The 17738-nt window shown below is 36.1% G+C and overlaps 2 annotated features.

Moving 5' to 3' along the window:
• Positions 7430-7630: a silencer, noted in NCBI's record as "peak605 fragment used in MPRA reporter construct". NCBI's record gives its function as "represses an SCP1 promoter by STARR-seq MPRAs in K562 erythroleukemia cells {active_cell/tissue: K562}" and the evidence as "EXISTENCE:reporter gene assay evidence [ECO:0000049][PMID:32103011]".
• Positions 10811-11011: a silencer, noted in NCBI's record as "peak604 fragment used in MPRA reporter construct". NCBI's record gives its function as "represses an SCP1 promoter by STARR-seq MPRAs in K562 erythroleukemia cells {active_cell/tissue: K562}" and the evidence as "EXISTENCE:reporter gene assay evidence [ECO:0000049][PMID:32103011]".

The following is a 17738-nucleotide window of genomic DNA, read 5'->3' as shown; positions in this document are numbered from 1 at the left end:
TAAACTAATTCATAGTCGCATCAGCAATGTATACGTACTCTTTTCTCTGCAACCTCACCAGTATTCTGACATGTGTGAGATTATATCTTATTGTGGTTTTGATTTGCATTTATCTAATGATCAGTGATGTTTAACATTTTTCCATATGCTTGTTGACCTCATGTATGTCTTATTTTGGGAAGTGTCTGTTCATGTTCTTTGCCTACATTTTAATGGGGTTGTTTGTTGCTTGTTATATTCCTACTAATATTAGCTCTAGATGTGAGATTCTACTACTGGTTAGCTGTGATTCTCTGTGTCTATCTATCTTTCTCTGTAGTTTTTAGAGTAGCGGCTTGCCTGTAAACATCAATTATTTTCTTTCAATAGTTTTTGGGGTATAGGTGTTTTTTATTATATAGATAGGTTCTTTAGTGGTGATTTCTGAGATTTTAGTACACCTGTCACTCAAGCAGTGCCCATTGTACCCAATATGTAATCTTTTATCCCTCACTCCCATCCCAGGCTTTCACCCGGAGTCTCCAGTCTCTTATATCATTCTTATGCCTTTGCATCCTCATAGCTTAGCTCCTACTTACAAGTGAGAACATGTATTTGATTTTTTATTCTTTAGTTACTTCACTTAGAATAATGGCCTCCAGCTCCATCCAATTTTTTATTGTTGAGTTACTTCCCTTAGAATAATGGCCTCCAGCTCCATCCAAGTTGCATCCAAAAGACATCATTTTGTTCCTTTTTTATGCCTGTGTAGTATTCTATGGTATATGTATATCACATTTTCTTTATCCATTAATTGGTTGGTGGGCACTTAGTTTGGTTGCTTCCATTTCTTTGCAATTGTGAGTTGTGCTGCTATAAGCATGCACGTGCATCTGCCTCTTTCATATAATGACATCTTTTCCTTTTACATATCCAGTAGTGGGATTGCTGGATCAAATAGTAGTTCTACCTTTAGTTCTTCAAGGATTCGAGGTGGTAATTTACATTCCCACCAGCAGTGTAAATTGTTCCCTTTTTACCACCTCCACAACAACATCTATTGTTTTTTTGACTTTTTATAATAACCATTCTTGGAGGAATAAGGTAGTATCTCATTGTGGTTTTAATTGCATTTCCCTGATGATTAGTAACGTTCAGAATTTTTTCATGTGTGGATCTTTTGAGAAATGTCTATTCATGTTCTTTGCCCACTTTTTGATGGTATTGTTTCTTTCTTGCTGATTTATTTGAGTTCCGTGTAGATTCTGGATACAACAAACAAACTATGTTGGTTGCATAGTTTGAAAATATTTTCTCCCACACTGTGGGTTGTCTGTTTACTCTGCTGATTACTACTTTTGCTGTGCAGAAGCTTTTTAGTTTAATTAAGTCAGATTTATTTATTTTTGTTTTTGTTGCATTTGCTCTGTAGGTCTCAGTCATGAAATCTTTACCTAAGTCAATGTCCAGAAGAGTTTTTCCAATGCTGTCTTCTATAAATTTATGACTTCGGGTCTTAGATTTAAGTCTTTGATCTACCTTGCATGTACTTTTTGTATAAGGTGAGATAAATTAATCCAGTTTCATTTTTCTTCATGTGGCTTGCCAGTTTTTCCAGCACTGTTTATTGAATAGGGTGTCCTTTCACCAATTTATGTTTTGGAATGCTTTGATGAAGTTCAGTTGTCTGTTAAGTATTCGGCTTTAATTATGGATTCTCTATTCTGTTCCACTGGTCCACATGCTTATTTTTATACCAGTATCATGCTGTGTTGGTAACCATAGCCTTTCAGTACAATTTGAAGTTGGGTAATGCGATGCCTTCAGCTTTGTTCTTTTTGCTTAGTCTTGCTTTGGTTATTCTGGCTCTTTTTTGGTTCCATACGAATTTTAGAATTGTTTTTTCTAGTTCTGTGAAGAATGATGATGGTATTTTGTTGGGAATTGTATTGAGTCTGTAGATTGCTTTTGGCAGTGTGGTCATTTTCAAAATACTGATTTTTCCCATCCATTAGCATTGGGTGTGTTTCCATTTGTTTGTGTCATTTACGATTCTTTCAGCAGTGTTTTGTAGTTTTCCTTGGAGAGATCTTTCACCTCCTTGGATAAGTATATTTCTAAGTATTTAATTTTATTTTTTTGCAGCTGTTGTAAATGGGATTGAGTTCTTCATTTGATTCTCAGCTTAGTCATTGTTGATGTGGAACAGAACTACTGATTTGTGTATATGGATTTTATATCCTGAGACTTTACTGAATTTGTTTATCGGATCTAGGAGCTTTTTGGATGAGTCTTTAGCGTTTTCTAGGTATACAATCAGCAGAATTCTGCCAAGCCTTCAAAGAAGACTTGCTACTATTCCTGCTGAAACTATTCTAAAGCATAGAGAAAGAAGGAATCCCATGTAAATCATTGTATGAAGCCAGTATCACCCTAAAACCAAAATCAGGAAAAAAAAATAGCGAAAAGAAAAGAAAAGAAAAAGAAAACTAGCCTGTAATCCTAGCCCTTTGGGAGGCCGAGGCAGGCCGATCACATGAGGTCAAGAGTTTGAGACCAGCCTGACCAACATGGAGAAACCCCGTCTCTACTAAAAGTACAAAATTAGCCGGACATGGTGGTGCATGCCTGTAATCCCAGCTACACAGGGGAGCTGAGGCAGAAGAATCACTTGAATCCGGGAAGCGGAGGTTTCAGTGAGCCGAGATCACGCCATTGCACTCCACCCGGGGCAACAAGAGTGAAACTCCATCTCAAAACAAACAAACAACAACAAAAACAAACAAACAAAAACCCTACATACCAATATCGCTGATGAGCAGAGATGCAAAAATGCTCAACAAAATCGTAGCTAACTGAACCCAACAGCACATCAAAAAGATAATTCATCATGATCAGGTGGGTCTCACCCTAGAGATGAAGGGACGATTTAGTATATGCAAGTTAATAAATGTGATACCTAACATAAAAAGAATTAAAAACAAAAATTACAGGATAATATCAATCGATGCAGAAAAATCATTTGATAAAATCCAGCATCCCTTTATGATAAAACCTTTCAACACAATAGGCATAGAAGGGACTTACCTCAAAGTAATAAAAGCCATGTATAACAAACCCCCAGCCAACATAATACTGAATGTCAAAAAGTTGAAAGCCTTTCCCCAAGAACTGGAACAAGACAAGGATACTCACTTATATCAATTCTATTCAACATAGTACTGGAAGTCTTAGCCAGAGCAATCAGACAAGAGAAAAAAAATAAAGGGCATCCAAATTGGAAATGAAGAGGTCAAACTGTTTCTGTTTGCTGAACATCAATTTTTCTGATGGATCTAAAAAGGATTGTTGATCTTCAGTTCATTTAGATTTTTCTTGTTGTGGGTATGGAAGAGAATAATTTCCAAGATCTTTATATATCTGCCAAGAAACCAGAAATAAGATTTATACATTTTAGCCAAGTTACTGGATATTCACTGCTTTCTCATTCCTCTGCTATATGTCAAGTGACCAACAATGAAATGATACATGGAGAAAGAAGTGCTGAGAACTAAAAGAGAGGGAAGAAAAATAGGTAAAGTATTTTTAAGTTGACCTTTTCATTATTCTTCAATTGTTAAATTCTATTTTCAGGATGGTAAGCTTATAATATGACATATAAAATATTTATTCAATTTGCCAAATATACCCCAAAACTTAGAGATCACACTTCAAGAACTTTATTTAAACGTTATTTATCAGAATAGAACCATGGATATTACCCAGTGCATTGAATAAAGATATTTCACACTTTTAATATCATAATATCATATGCTTTATCTAATCACACAATAACCTTACAGTTTATTGTGTATTTTTAATATTTTTGATATTTTCTTCTAGTAACAATAACAACATGCAGATGATAAATATAATTTTTGTCTTGAGCATAAGAAAAAAATGTGTAAGTTTTCATTTTCCATTTTCTTGCTGCAATATAAAATGTCAAAACAATTGAAATTAAATAATATCCTCCTTGGCTGTAGTATTTCTCTCTCCTACATCATATTCAGGAATGACAGTCTGCTTCTGATAAATTTCCCTTTGCATCTATATATATGATCACTGCTTGTTTTTAAATTGAAAGTGGAGAGTAAAATCAGACAGAAAACTGACATATAACCTTCCACCAGGGAGAAGCTAATAGCTATATTTAAGATTTTTTTTTTCTGAAAAAAATTACACTACAAGTGATGATTTATATAACCACAAATTAGATTAGAAACAAATATTCCATAATAAAAAGAAATGTATTAAAATGTCTAAATCAAAGAAAATAAATTTATTTAGCCCAGGTTGTTTGGGGAGTTTTGTGTACCAATTGTAAAGATCCTACAAGCAGTTAAGCCTTTTTCATAACATGTGTTTTATGCCATAACACTGCTGTTCACATTTTCAAAACACACCCTGACTTTATTCTTATGTGTTAAGTCCTGCTCATTGTATTTGGAGCACTTGACACTGTGAACATTTTTCTTCTTTTAGCTTTACTTCCTTGAGGACCAGGCACATACTCCAGTATTTCTATAGATCATAATCCATTCACCTCTTTATGACACTTAAGTTTTTTGTCACATATATCCTACCAAATGGGAAGGCCAGTAATGTTATGTAATTGCAATTTTATTTTAAAGTCTATTTCTACAATGTAAAAACATCTAATTACTTATTTTTTTATTTGAGTTTTCATTTATCACATTTTTACTTGGATGGAATTTAGAGCTCTATAAATGAAATTAACAAAATGTTCTCAAAAGAATAATTATTTTAACATGTGAAAAGGAGCATATGCTGTTGTATACTTCTAACTATAAATTCCTCCAGCTAAAAAGAAATAATTGAGGATGAAATATAAGTAATAATTAAACTTACATAATAGAGTGATTAGTGTGCGTAGCTCTTATGATGAGGTCAGAACTTTAAAGAAAATGTAAGTAGTTTCTCAACAACTGGGAAAAAAATAGTATGTACAATTTTAAACGTATTTATGAGCTGGGCGCAGTGGCCCACACCTGTAATCCCAGCACTTTGGGAGGCTGAGGCGGGCTGATCACAAGGTCAGGAGATCAAGACCATGTTGGCCAACACGGCGAAACCCCGTCTCCACTGAAAATACAAACAATTAGGCGGGCGTGGTGGCGGGCGGCTAAGGCAGGAAAATGGCGTGAACCCGGGAGGCGGAGCTTGCAGTGAGCAGAGATAGTGCAACTGCACTCCAGCCTGGGTAACAGAGCGAGACTCCATCTCAAAATAAAATAAAATAAAATAAAATAAAATAAAATAAAATAGCATAAAAATAAAAATAAATAAAATAAAATAAAAAATATTTGTGAATATCCCCACCAGAGGATATCAGAATCTAGAGATTTTACCTGGCCACTTAAAGTTTCATGGATTTCAGGGGATTACGACACATAATTGTTATGAACTCCAAGTTTGTGTTTCTCTAAAATTCATATGGTGAAACCCTACCTTCTAATGGGATAAGTATTAGGAGGTGGGACCTTTGAGAGGTAATTAAGTTTAGGTGAGATCATGAGAGTACAGCCCCCAGGATGGAATGAGTATCCTTATGAGAAGGGAAGGAGACTTGAGCTTGCTCTCATGACCATATAAAATATTACAAGAGAGCAGCTGCCTAGAAAAAGTCTTGAAAAAGTTTTATATAACTCTAGTATTCAACCAATGAGTATATTGATGTCTGCATTATAATATCCAGGGACTATTCAAGACAAATTTTTAAATATTATACAAGCATCTTGTAGAAAATTTCCATGTTCGTCTTTCAAGGGAGTAGTTGTAACTACCATGGTAAAGACAGATTCAAAAAGCAAATATTGTGGAATCTAAAATAAAAAAGGCAGTCGACAATGATCTACATCTGTCCAATAATAACTTGTGTCTTTACTTTTCTATTGTTGTTTCAAAGCCTTATCTCCATAATGACTATCTAAAACCTAAAAGTAGTAACCCCTCTTTGGGAGGCTGCGGCGGGCTGATCATGAGGTCAGGAGATCCAGACCATCCTGGTTAACACGGTGAAATCCCGTCTCCACTAAAAATACAAAAACAAATTAGCCGAGCGTGGTGGCGGGCGCCTGCAGTGCCAGCTGCTCGAGAGCCTGAGGCAGGAGAATGACGTGAACCCGGGAGGTGGAGCTTGCCGTGAGCGGAGATCGTGCCACTGCACTCCAGCCTGGGCGACAGAGCGAGACACCGTCTCAAAAAAAAAAAAGTAGTAACCCGTTTTCATCAAGTTTTCTTAGTAATCCTCTGTTCTGCAGTTCTTCATCCTTGTTATTCTCTTGGTAGGTTTAATTTACAGTGGTTTTCCATTTTTACCTTGGGTTTGGAACATTGAAACTTTTGTGGCAGAAACAGAATTGCATCTGAATGCCCCTCGTAAGCAGAAAGAACAGAGAATGATACAAAATAGCCATTGGTGAAAGAAGTCGGAAACAAAACATCTACCTCCTAAATCTACCTCCTAAATTGTGAAGGTAGATATGGTTCCAACCTTTGTTATATATGCGACCCAGTACATTGAGAATGCTTAGTGAATTTTAGTAGTGGCAACAACGTCATAAGTGCACAGTGCCTATGTTTTATTTCTTCCTGGTTAATTCATTCTTATATTTTTATGGCTAAAATAACTTGCTCTTAGATTAAATCTTTCTCCTTTGAAAGAGTATTAAATCTTTATTTTTTTCAGCAGTTTGTGCCTATTAGCATATTTGAAATGAAAGAGAACTGTGTGTTGTTTCCTCTGACATTGTAAAAAGTAGTTAGATTATTTGCTACGAAATAAGAAATTACTCTTACGAATTTACTCTGTTCGTGGTTATTATTTTTCCCTTCGGCAGAACTTAACTCTTTTAATGGGCTTCCAGTACCTTTGGCAACCATAGAAAAATTCTATGGAAGAATGAGTCAATGTTTGTACAAGTAAAACTTTAGAAACTGAGGGACAGTTATATATGAATTTTTGGAAATTGAAATTCTAGGAAAAATCCTCGTCTTAAATTATCCTCATTATTTATAGGGTGCTGCAGTTCTCCTGTGGTGTGAAAGCATATAGATTTTTATTAGCTCTCTAAACTGAGAGTGAGATGCCATCTGTACAGGGGCATTGACAGAATATTATTGATTCCGTCTGTAATAAAGCCAAGTCAGGGCAACTATTGTGTGCTGAGCCACCTTGAACTTCCACTGCTGCCAATTGTTTTCCTAGAGAATTGGGATATAAAGTTGATCCTTATTAAGATTTCAAATTAGCGTAGGCTTTTTTCTTTTCATTTGTTAAAATAAACTGCCTCTGTGTCTTCCACACTTCTTGACCTGACCATCTTTTGCCCTTCTTTTTCTACTAAACATATGAAATCCTTTTAAGAGGAACCATTTTCACAATTATGAAAGAGAACGAAGTCCCTTTACGTTCATAAAAACATATACTATTCCTTGGGATAGAGTAGTGAAACTGAACCCAGGTCCTGCGCAACCCATGCCTACCACAACTGTGAGATGTTGGTGGAAGCTGTCTGAATTTTTCCTGAGCAGCTGATGTTGCAGAAGTGTCCAGTTGCTTCTAGGATTTTAAGTATAAACTTAGCTTCAGGAGTACAAGCACTGAAAAATTGATGTTAGCAGCGTGTCTTCCTCAGATGTGTCATCAGTCTTAACATTTTGGTCTTCCTAGTGTCATCTGTGGATTAACAACTTGGCTTCTAGGTAGACATGGCTTTAAAAATATAGGTGTCTTCATGCACACATTTTCCTCTGTGCTTATTTCACTCTCTAACCCTTCAGCATAATTCAAAGTATATTATGCTAGCTTATGAAAGATTTTGTGGATTTGGATGGGAGTAAATATAAAGCTTAGTGTTATTTACCTTCTCACTTTGTTACTTTTTTTTGACTGCCATGCAGAGGTGTGGGTGACATTTAAAGTACAGTTAACTGATTTGGAAGAATCTTTTTTAATATAATTCTAGAGGCTTTTAAAAGTATGAGTGGGCTTTGTATAGCAGGTGGTGAATGACAGCTGTTTGGGCAGAATACAAATGAGAATATGAGACACCTCCACATTATAAAAGTTTCAGAAACAAAATATGTTGAGTCTGATATACGACAATGCATGTAAAATTATATTTGCTTTTTTCCTTTCTTTTTTAAGTTCTGGTTATTTTTTCTTTAGTTTTAATTGTATGTAAAAATAAAAATGGTTTAAATAAAATTAACCATTTGAATTGCAAACTCTATAAGATTTTTCACCAATAATATAACTGTAGCTTTAACTATCTCAAATTTTGTACATCTCATTTGTTGATTTTGTAAGAAAATAAGTGGAAAGCATTGTAATTAGAAAACCTGAATTTAACGTTTGGATCTGACTTCTGATCTCATTTCAATTACTATCATTTTATGGGAGTTAACAGAGGTGAATATTTAAAACTGTTTTTAGTATAAAGTCTTAAAATCAATTTCTTCTTTTCAACTGATATTTATTCATTCATTGATTTTTTTCCAATTTCTGAATATATATGAGACCCCTTGTATCCAACATATGGTCTCATATAAATCACGTTAAAGTTTTCAGTGAGCCTTCCATCCTTGGAGAGTGATAGTATGTGATATGTTTGACTCTGTGTCCCCACCCAAATCTCGTTTCAAATTGTAATTCCCAAGTTCAGGGAGGAAACTGGTGGGAGGTGATTGGATCATGGGGGCAGATTTCCCCCTTTGCTCTACTCATGATAATGAGTGAGTTCTCATGATATCTGGTTGTTTTAAAATGTGTAGCATGTCCCCCACATGTAAAGACATGCTCGCTTCCTCTTTGCCTTCTGCCATGATTGTACATTTCCTGAGGCCTCCCTGAGCCATGCTTCCTACAGAGCCTATGGAACCATGAGCCAATTAAACCTCTTAAAAAAAAATTACCAAGTCTCAGGTAGTTCTGTGTAGCAATTGGAGAACAGATTCATACGGTATGTAAGGTAAATAACTATAAATATGTGTAGAGGATGATTGCATCACAATGTGGTCAATGTGTTTTTAGAATTTGGAGCATTTCTAATTGCCTATAGTTGAAATGTGGAATTGGGAAGATACCTGTACTGTATTTTGAGGAATGGCTAATATTTCTACAAAAGAAGAGTTGGGAATCTTCAAAGAATGGTTTAAGCAAAAATTTGGACAATGGAAAGTATTGAGTATGTGCAGAGCAGTAAAAGATGCTTAACTCAGCAACAGGGATTGTTTAACAAAAAAGCGGTTGATATGGTTTGGCTGCATCCCCATCAGAATCTCAACTTGAACTATAGTTCCCATAATCCTTATGTGTCAAGGGAGGGGCCCGGAGGGAGGTAATTGAATCATGGGAGCAGTTAGCCCCCCATGCTGTTCTCATGATAGTGAGTGAGCTCTCACAAGATCTGATGGTTGTTTTTTTGTTTGTTTTTGTTTGTTTTTTTTTGAGATGGAGTCTCACTCACTCAGTCACCCAAGCTGAAATGCAGTGACAAAATCTCTGCTCACTGCAACCTCCACCCCCACATTCAAGAGATTCACCTTCCTCAGACTCCCAAGTAGCTGGGACTACAGGTGCCTGCCACCATGCCCAGCTAATTTTTGTATTTTATTAGACATGTTGTTTCACCATGTTGGCCAGACTGATCCTGAACCCCTGACCTCAAGTATTCCACCCACCTTGGCCTCCCAAAGTGCTGAGATGACAGGCATGAGCCACCATGCCTGGCCAAGATCTGATGGTTTTATAAGGGGCTTTTCCCCCTTTGATCAGCACTTTTCTCTCCTGCTGCTTTGGGAAGAAGGATGTGTTTGCTTCTCCTTCTGCCATGATTGTAAGTTTCCTGAGACCATCCCAGCCATGTGTAACTGTGTGTCAATTAAAACTCTTTCCTTTATAAGTTACCCAGTCTCATGTATTTCTTCATAGCTGCAAGAGAATGTACTAACACAGTAAATAGGTACGGCAGAGTGGGACACTACTGTAAAGATACTGAAAATGTGGAAGTGACTTTGTAACTGGGTAACAAGCAGAGGCTGGACTAGTTTGGAGGGCTCAGAAGACAGGAAAATGTGGGAATGTTTGGAACAATCTAGAGACTTGGAGGGCTCAGAAGACAAGAAGATGTGGGTAAGTTTGAAACCCCCTAGAGACTTGCTGAATGGCTTTGACCAAAATGCTGATAGTGATATGGACAATGAAGTTCAGGCTGAGGTGGTCTCAGATGGAGATGAGGAACTTGTTGGGAACTGAAGTAAAAGTGACATTTGCTATGCAAAGAGACTGGTGGCATTTTGCCCCATCCTAGAGATCTGTGGAACTTTGAACTTGAGAGAGATGATTTAGGATACCTGGTGGAAGAAATGTCTAAGCAACAAATCATTCAAGAGGAAGCAGAGCATAAAAGTTTGGAAAATTTTAGCCTGATGGATGTGATAGAAAGGAAAACCCCATTTTCTCGGGAGAAATTCAAGCCAGCTGCAGAAATTTGCATAAATAATGAGGAGCCAAGAAAATATATCCAGGGCATGTCAGAGACTTTCATGGGAGCACCTCCCATCACAAGCCCAGAGGCCTAGGAGGGAAAAATGGTTTCCTGGGCTGGGCCCAGGACACCCCTCTTCTATGCAGCCTCAGGACATGGTACTCTGCCTACCAGCTGCTTCAGGTCCAGCTGTGGCTAAAAGGGGCCAATGTACAGCTCAGTCCCTTGCTTCAGAGGATGCAAGCCCCAAGCCTTGGTGGCTTGCACATAGTGTTGAGGCTGCGGGTTCATAGGAGTCAAGAATTGAGGTTTAGAAACCTCTGTCTGGATTTCCGAAGATGTATGAAAACGCTTGGATGTCCAGGCAGAAGTTTGCTGCATGGGCGGAGCCCGCATGGAGAAACTCTGCTAAGGCAGTGTAGAAGGGAAGTGCCCTAGCAGAGCCCCCACACAAAGTCCCCACTGGACCACTGCCTAGAGGAGCTGTGAGAAGAATGCCACCATCCTTCAGACCACAGAATTGTAGATCCACCAACAGCTTGCACTGTGTGTCTGGAACCACCACAGACATTCAATGCCAGACTTTGAAAACAACCAGGAGGGGGGCTATACTCTGCAAAACCACAGAGGCAGAGCTGCCCAAGGCTGTGGGAGCCCACATTTTGCATCAGTGTGACCTGGATGTGAGACATGTAGTCAAAGGAGATCGTTTTGGAACTTTAAGTTTTACTGACTGTTCTGTTGGATTTCAGACTAGCATGGGCCGCCCCTTTGTTTTGGCCAATTTCTTCAATTTGGAACAGACCTATTTACCCAATGCCTGTACCCCCATTGTATCTAGGAAGTAACTAACTTGATTTTGATTTTACAGGCTCAGAGGTGGAAGAGACTTGCCTTGTCTCAGGTGAGACTTTGGACTTAGACTTTCGGGTTAATGCTGGAATGAGCTAAGACTTTGGGGGACTGTTGGAAAGGCATGATTGTGTTTTGAAATGTGAAGACATGAGATTTGGGAGGGGCCAGGGGCAGAATGATATGGTTTGGCTATGTCCCCACCCAAATCTCATCTTGAATTGTAGTTCCCATAATCCATACATGTCATGTGAGGGACCTATTGAGAGGTAATTGAATCATGAATGTGGTTACCCCCTTGCTGTTCTAGTGATAGTGAGCAAGTTCTCCTGAGATCTGATGGCTGCATAAGGGGCTTTACCCTCGTTTTTCAGCACTTTTTTCTCCTCCTGCCTTGTGAAGAAGTTTGTGTTCACTTCCCCTTCTGCCATGATTGGAAGTTTCCTGAGGCCTCCCAGCCATGTGAAACTGTGAGTCAATTAAAACTTTTTCCTTTATAAATTTTCCAGTCTTTGGTATTTCTTCATAGTAGCGTGAGAATGGATTAATACAATAGGACTGATATAAAGGCTAGGAGAATAGGGGAGTTCAACCAGTACATGGCAAAGACAAAAAACAAGAGATGAGAGGTAGTTAAGACAATTAAAAATGATTATGATAAAATTAAAAAGCTTTCTTTTACTAAGTACTTTGAGTCTTCAACAAGGCAGATATCAAATATATATTAATTGGAGAAATGTGTTCTTATTTAATTGCCCAAACAATTACGTGTGGTAGAAATAATTTTCATTTTATAGGGAAAACCGATGAGTGAAAAACAATTAGCAACTTGAGCAAATCCTAAATTTAAAACAACAGTTAAGTTTTCAAACTGAGATTTAAAGTCATTTCATTAGACTCTAGTTTTTATGCTTATAACCAACATACAATCCTGTGTGTTCCAGGAAGGGAATTCAAATACGGGCACTCATTGGCTCTAAGATGTACTCGTCATTAAATAACTAGAGTCCAAAGCAGAGAAACGATTTGAGAGAAGTGATGTTCCAAATTCCATGTCAGATCTACCACAAGAGTGGCTTGCTGCAGAGTTGATAATTCACTGATCTGAGGTTGCCATTCCACCTATTAGTCATAGCTAAACTCTGGGGTAGGAACAATAAGCTAGATAGGCAATTGTAACAGCCACCATTATTACAAAAAAAATTCACACTATGTTCATTAAATGTGTTAATTTATATAGCAATAAAAGCTTGAGTCATTATTCCCTAGTGGATTCTTCTTACCTGGTCTGTTCAATCTACTCTTAACTGATTTGTTAGAATCCACCTAGTCTAGGTATAAACCTATTATTTCATCCTGACTCATGACTTTCAAAGCAAAACAAAAAGATAAACTGAGATAAATAGAAACCATGTTTTGAATTAAAAAACCCATGTTTTAAATAAATACTGTCTATTTAAAGTTAAATACACATAAAAACATATGTATATACCATATATAATTATTGTGCAAATGAGATATTATTTGCAAACGTATGTATAAAATCTCAATATGTACATCTCAAGCCACCACCCTCCCCATCTGAGTGTGGGTCATTTTAACTCAGTTACCAATAGCTCAATACAACATATTCATAATTCTCTTGATATTATTCAATTATATTAATGTTAAATAGAAGCATGTGTATTTTGTTTTAAATAGGCTACTCAATGAAATATATGATTGGGGAAATCTTCTTAGTTCTAAACATTGAGCACAAATGAGCTGCTAAAATTCAAACCACATAACCTGATTCTGATTCCCCACCTTCACCAATAAAACAACAACAACAGCAACAACAACAGCAAGAACAACAACAACAACAGTATTTCAGCAAATGCTTTTATTTCTATGTAAATATATTCTGTGTACTCACTCAGGTGACAGACATTTACTTTTTGTCAGTATGAGTTTTAGGCACTATGGTAAGCTTTTTATATATATTATATCATTTAATTGTCATCTATTTTAAAATTATAAATTTGAAGTCTTAGTATCCTCTGAAGCAACCTGTGGCCATATAACACAGTTTTGGCCAGCGTGGTCAAGCAGAAGTCCTTTGGGAGGAGTCTGTACAGAAAAGAGGGTGGTGCCACCTTTTGCACTTTTTCATCAACTCTCCTCTCTGTTGGGAAAGCAGACATCATGCCTATAGTTGATGAAACGTATTTCAATCATGAGAACAAAAGGCACACAGGAAAAAAATAAAGCAAAAACATTAAAGACATCCAGGCCACCGATGTCATATGATGCTACCAAAGCAACCTTGGTCTGCTTATTATTTGAGAAAAGTGATGCTGTAAATTTTTTTTTGAACTTTTCTGCTGTACTTTTATTTCATTTCATTTAAAAAAATAACAGCTTTATTTAGATATAATTCACATATCATACAATGCACCTATCTAAAATGTACAATTTTAAATCGTGATGTTTAGTAAATTCACAAAGTCATGCAATCATTATTATAACCAATTTTAGAAAGTTGTTATTATCCCAACACCACACACCCACCCTTGTACCCATTAGAAGTCACCCCCACCCCCACCCCTAGGCAGCCACTAAAGAACTTGCTGTCTCTATAAATGTGCCTATTCTGGACATTTTGTATAAATGGAATTATATAATATGTGGTCTTCTGTGACTGGCTTCTTTCACTTTGTATAACATTTTCAAGTTTCATCTATATTGTAGAATAAATTAGTATTTCATTTTTAATCATGGGATAATATTCTATTTTATGGATATGCCACCTTTTGTTTGTCCATTTATAAGTTGATGAGCATTTGGGTTGTTTTCACTTGTTGACTATTATGAATGATGTCATTGTGAACATTCATGTACAAGTCTGTGTAGGCATATATTTTCATTTTTCTTAAGTATATCCCTAGGAATTGAGTTGCTGTGTCATATGGTAACTCTGTATTTAACATTTTGATGCTGTAAATTTTTAAAGTCACTATTAATTTTTGGTTAATAAAATTACCACAGACAGGAAGTTAAGGGCTAGGATAAAACATGGGTATTAGTGACTACAAAGCCAGTATTTTTTTCTTATTTTGCCAAAACTGTCTGGGTTCATATCCTTACGGAACACATGGATTTCATGGAAAGGTGAATAAACAGCTAAAGTAATAGTAGCTTGGATATCACTACAATATTAATTATAACTTCATTAGCACTTTATTTAATGTAATTCTTCTTGACAGTGTCCTGGATTTTGGAGAGCTAACCTTGACAGAATTAATTTGCCCTTCCACCACCTTTTGATCTCTCTGTACTCATCCTCCTAGAATGTGTCTCCTAGAATGTGGGAGAAAATGTTTTTCACAAAGCAGGAAAATGTTAAAAAGAAAAACTAGAGAAAACATTGGCCATTACATGAAAGATATTTTCTTTCTAAATTAATGTTTGTTTATATTTGTTCTCAGAGGTCATAAAATTATTTAAAGTGTTAATAATTTTAATATGTATTAAATAGTTGTTCAGAAGTTTAAGTATTTAGTGTCACACAAACTGCTTATAAAACAGTTTTTACTCTGCATCAATCTGCAAATCACAGTGGCAGTAGATGTTTCTGGAAATGTCAAATGCTTTCTGGTTTAAAATCACTCCAGAACACCAACAGTAGCTCCTCATTGACATTTTACTATTCCGCTGCAAGCTAAAGACAGATGGCTCTTTATATGTTTTATATGAAAAACAATGTTCTTTTTAAAATCAAGTCATAGTAAGGTTTCACTAAACTTTTTGAAAAGGTATGTGACTTCTTGTTTGCATGTTTTCCATTCTGAATTGCCACATAACTCAAGAGTTTTGTTTCTTTCAGTCTTGAAGTATGGCAGAGTGCAATTAGAAATAAGAATTTCAATATAAACATCTTATCTTTTGGAGGCCTATTGGAATTAGTGGTAAAGCAATAATAATAATTAGGTTAAACAATACTACAGTCTGTCACCTGTCAGGGGAATTCTAAATTTTAATATTAAAGTTTGTATTTTAATGTACTGTACATACTACTTGAAAGCATAAAACTATAATTAACTCTAAGTGTGACATCTGTTGAAATTAAGGTTAAAATGATGCTTACAAAATGTCATTGTTATCCATTTTTAAGCACAAATCATTGCCTAGCATGTTTCAAAAGATGGAGGAAGCTATTTGATCTAAATAACTAAAAGTATTTAGATAAAGTATTTAGATACTTTAGGTAAAGTAACTAAAAGTTGTCAGTTTTTAAATAAATAGGACACCATGGCAGTATATTCGGAGAGGAGTGATTTTGTAAGTATGATCATTAAAGTGGCTTTGTTAATAGCAATCCTCTTTTGCATTTGCAAAGTATGCTTCCTTAGAGAGGCTTAGGGTGCTTTTTTAATATCTTTGTACTGCTTCACAGTAACTGTGAAAAATGAAACAAATCTCTCTAAAAATGTCATTGCAAAAAGAATTTTCTCTATGGGAATAAATGACCTAACATTGAATAAATAACCAAAAAAATCTATTGCTACCTTTATCTATCTCAAAGTGTGTAGTCAGATCAATGGTCCCATTGAACTTTGCATTAGTCTGAAATTATTTGATATATTTGATCAATTTGGGGTGTAACATTTTAAAAAGGAGTTGTCGATTATGTTTAATTTATCAGTTTGTGTATTCTCAGTACTTCTTATACGTGCATGATATATGAGTTGTTTAATACCTGAATTAAAATCAGATGATGACTATATACATGCAGTAAGAGATGCAGAGGTTTTGAGGTTTAAAAAATGTATTAGTTTTCTCTCTATTGTTGTGTAACAAATTAATGCAAACTGAGAGGTGGGCCAGAATTCTGGGCACGGCTCAATTTGGTTCTCTGCTCAGGGTCTCATCAGGTTGAAATCAAGTTATTGGCCAGGGCTGTGTAACTATGGGAGTCAATATCCCATCACAGTTTGCTGTGTAATATGACCTAAGCAAGCATGTGACTACCCAAATATGCACATGTTAAGCCTACACTCAAAGATATATGGTTGTAAGTCCTATAAACCAAGGAATGACAATCCTGAGAAACTTGGAGGCAATCTTGGAATTCTGCCTACCATAAGAAGGACACACACACACACACACACACACACACACACGCACTAAGGCAGCATCAAGGGAAAACCTCATTTGAATTTTTTTTTCTGTTTCTTCACTGTTATCTCTTATTAGGAATAGAGATGAGGAAGAGGATTAAAAAATCTCTGCTAGTTGTAGTTCAGCTGTCTGAAAATTGACTCGTTTGATGAAATAACATCTAACATGGATTGAATGCTTATTATGTGCCAGACACTTAAATTTTAGCTACATTAGCTCATTTAATCCTACAAAAACTGTGTAGGAAATGTAACATTATTGTAACCTTTTTCATAGTTGAAAGATGTGAGGCACAAAAAGATTAAGTTGTTTAATCAGGTTCAGAATGCTGGTGAGTGGCAACGATAGGATAATATGCCAAATATTTGTTATATGCTCAATAAATGTAGTTATTAATTTGATTATTATTTAGGATCATTAGAAAAGGAAATAGTATAGAATAACCTAAAGAACACATACATTTTGCTAACTAGCACTGTTGGTCTTTTATATTAGAACTAGTGGAGGATTGTAGTCATCCTCATTCCAGAGAAGTACAAAATCAAGTTTGAAGAACTTCTAGTTCAAAATCACTTCTGTTTAGCAGTACCCATTACTTCTGTTTAGAAGTTCCAGCACTGCCCACTTTCTCAGTGTATTGACTAAGGAAATGCAGGGAAAAAAAGACAAAATCTTATAATGATAAAAAAAAAATTAAAACAGAATGGCCAACCACCACCAGGTAGAATCTTCATTATATTTAAGAAAGAAGAATGATGATGAAAAGCATTCAGCCCAGGTTTGATTCAGTGGCATAACCTGACTTTACCTCATGGAAAAAAGCTAACAAAAATAATGCGAGATGTGTTGTTTCTCTCAAAGCTTGATTTTGGTTTTTCCAAAATAAATAGCCACAGTACTGTTTATTTTCCTTGACTTCTACCCTGCTGTCCTCTGCCCTCAAATACTGACTGTATGGACATATTATGTTCATCTAAGCAGAGATAACAAACCCCAACAAACAGCTAGGATTTGGAATCTGAATCAGGGTTGCTCTAGGGGGTGAAGAGGGCTGTAGAAGGAGAAAAGAAGCTGCAGCAGGCAGAGGTGTAAGAAATTTAATGCCCAAGACCCAATGCTACAGGAAGAAACCTGAGAGCAGAATATAACTTGCAGTGTGGTTTTTCATACATTGCAGCAATTCAGATCAGCAGA

The sequence above is a fragment of the Homo sapiens genome, chromosome 1 (genome assembly GCF_000001405.40).
Source record: "Homo sapiens chromosome 1, GRCh38.p14 Primary Assembly".
Classification (NCBI taxonomy): domain Eukaryota; kingdom Metazoa; phylum Chordata; class Mammalia; order Primates; family Hominidae; genus Homo; species Homo sapiens.
Note: the sequence above shows the minus strand (reverse complement) of the source record. Positions and strands in the feature narration are given on the sequence as shown.